At 39.4% G+C, this 1,296-nt stretch overlaps 1 annotated feature.

Annotated features, from left to right (window-relative positions):
* Window positions 707–1,001: a silencer, noted in NCBI's record as "tiled region #11164; HepG2 Repressive DNase matched - State 9:DNaseU". NCBI's record gives its function as "represses a minimal TATA promoter and a strong SV40 promoter by Sharpr-MPRA in HepG2 cells {active_cell/tissue: HepG2}" and the evidence as "EXISTENCE:reporter gene assay evidence [ECO:0000049][PMID:27701403]".

Genomic DNA, 1,296 nt, shown 5'->3' on the forward strand with positions numbered 1-1,296 from the left:
AGTGTATATACTATGTAACTTTATATTGAAAAATTAGCCCACTTTTTGACTTGGCCAAAACATTACAACTAGCATTTCACTTTATACAATATCTTGTTTTTAGAATTACAATATTAGGTCTTCTTTTCCAAACACAAAATACCTCTAGGCTGCTTTCTTTTACTCTTTGGTGACAGGTGCATTAAGAACATGTTATTACTTTAGTTTTTTCTTATAAAAGTAAAATATGCTTGATATTTTATTAAGCCATTCTTCCATTGCTGTAAAGAAATACCTGAGACTGGGTAATTTATAAAGAAAAGAGATTTAATTGGCTCATGGTTGTGCAGGCTGTATACGAAGCATGGCACCAGCATCTGCTGCGGAAGCTTCGGGGAGCTTTTACCCATGCAGAAGGCCAAGCGAGAGCTTGCACATCACATGGCAAAAGCAGGAGCAAGAGTCAAGGGGCAGGTACCACACACACTTAAACAACCAGATCTTGCAATAACTCATTCACTGCTGTGAGGATAGCACCAAACCATGGGGGATTTGCCCACATGACCCGCCACCTCCCACAAAGGGCCACCTCCAATATTGGGGGATGACATTTCAACATGAGATTTGGGGAGATAAATATCCAAACCGTATCAGATATTAGAAGTCAAACAATACAGAGTTCAATAAAATAGAAGTAAAATTTGACTTTCTCTCCTGAGATTGAGTTCATGTAAGGTCCAATGCCCACTGCTCAAAAAACATGAGCTACTAGATTACATGTAACAGAGATATTGAAATAAGGTGTGGTAAACAGCAACAGTGCCCTATTGAAAATAAAGTGTCCACATTCTTCAAGGACCACATCAAAGAAAATCTTACTCTTAACATGAGACTGGATATTTGTCCTCACATGGGAGACAGACCAAATAGATTAGAATGCTATTGCCCAAGAGAGATATAAGAGGAGTAATGGGGAAGGCCATAGGGTCTTTGTTTAGGGTTAGCAGCATTTGCAAACTGAGAAAATTGCTTGTGATGTCTATATGCAAGAAGGGGAACTCATACCTTGCTCCATGGTTGGAGATTACTAAAATAGCATGGTTTCATGTTTGGGAAGCAAAGCTAAAAGGACTGCCTCCTGAAAGGAAAGGAAGATAGATCCTATTTGAGTTTGCAGGCCCAGTGTTGGGAAAAGAAGGTACAAAAATATGATGGCTGCATCATATATTGGTTCTCTCCAACATGAGGCAAGGAGATGTGTGTATCAGAGGAATTCATGTGGGATGCACACAGTTGGGATCAGTTTGGATATGTAAC

This window comes from Homo sapiens, chromosome 5, assembly GCF_000001405.40.
Source record: "Homo sapiens chromosome 5, GRCh38.p14 Primary Assembly".
In the NCBI taxonomy this organism is placed as follows: Eukaryota; Metazoa; Chordata; class Mammalia; order Primates; family Hominidae; genus Homo; species Homo sapiens.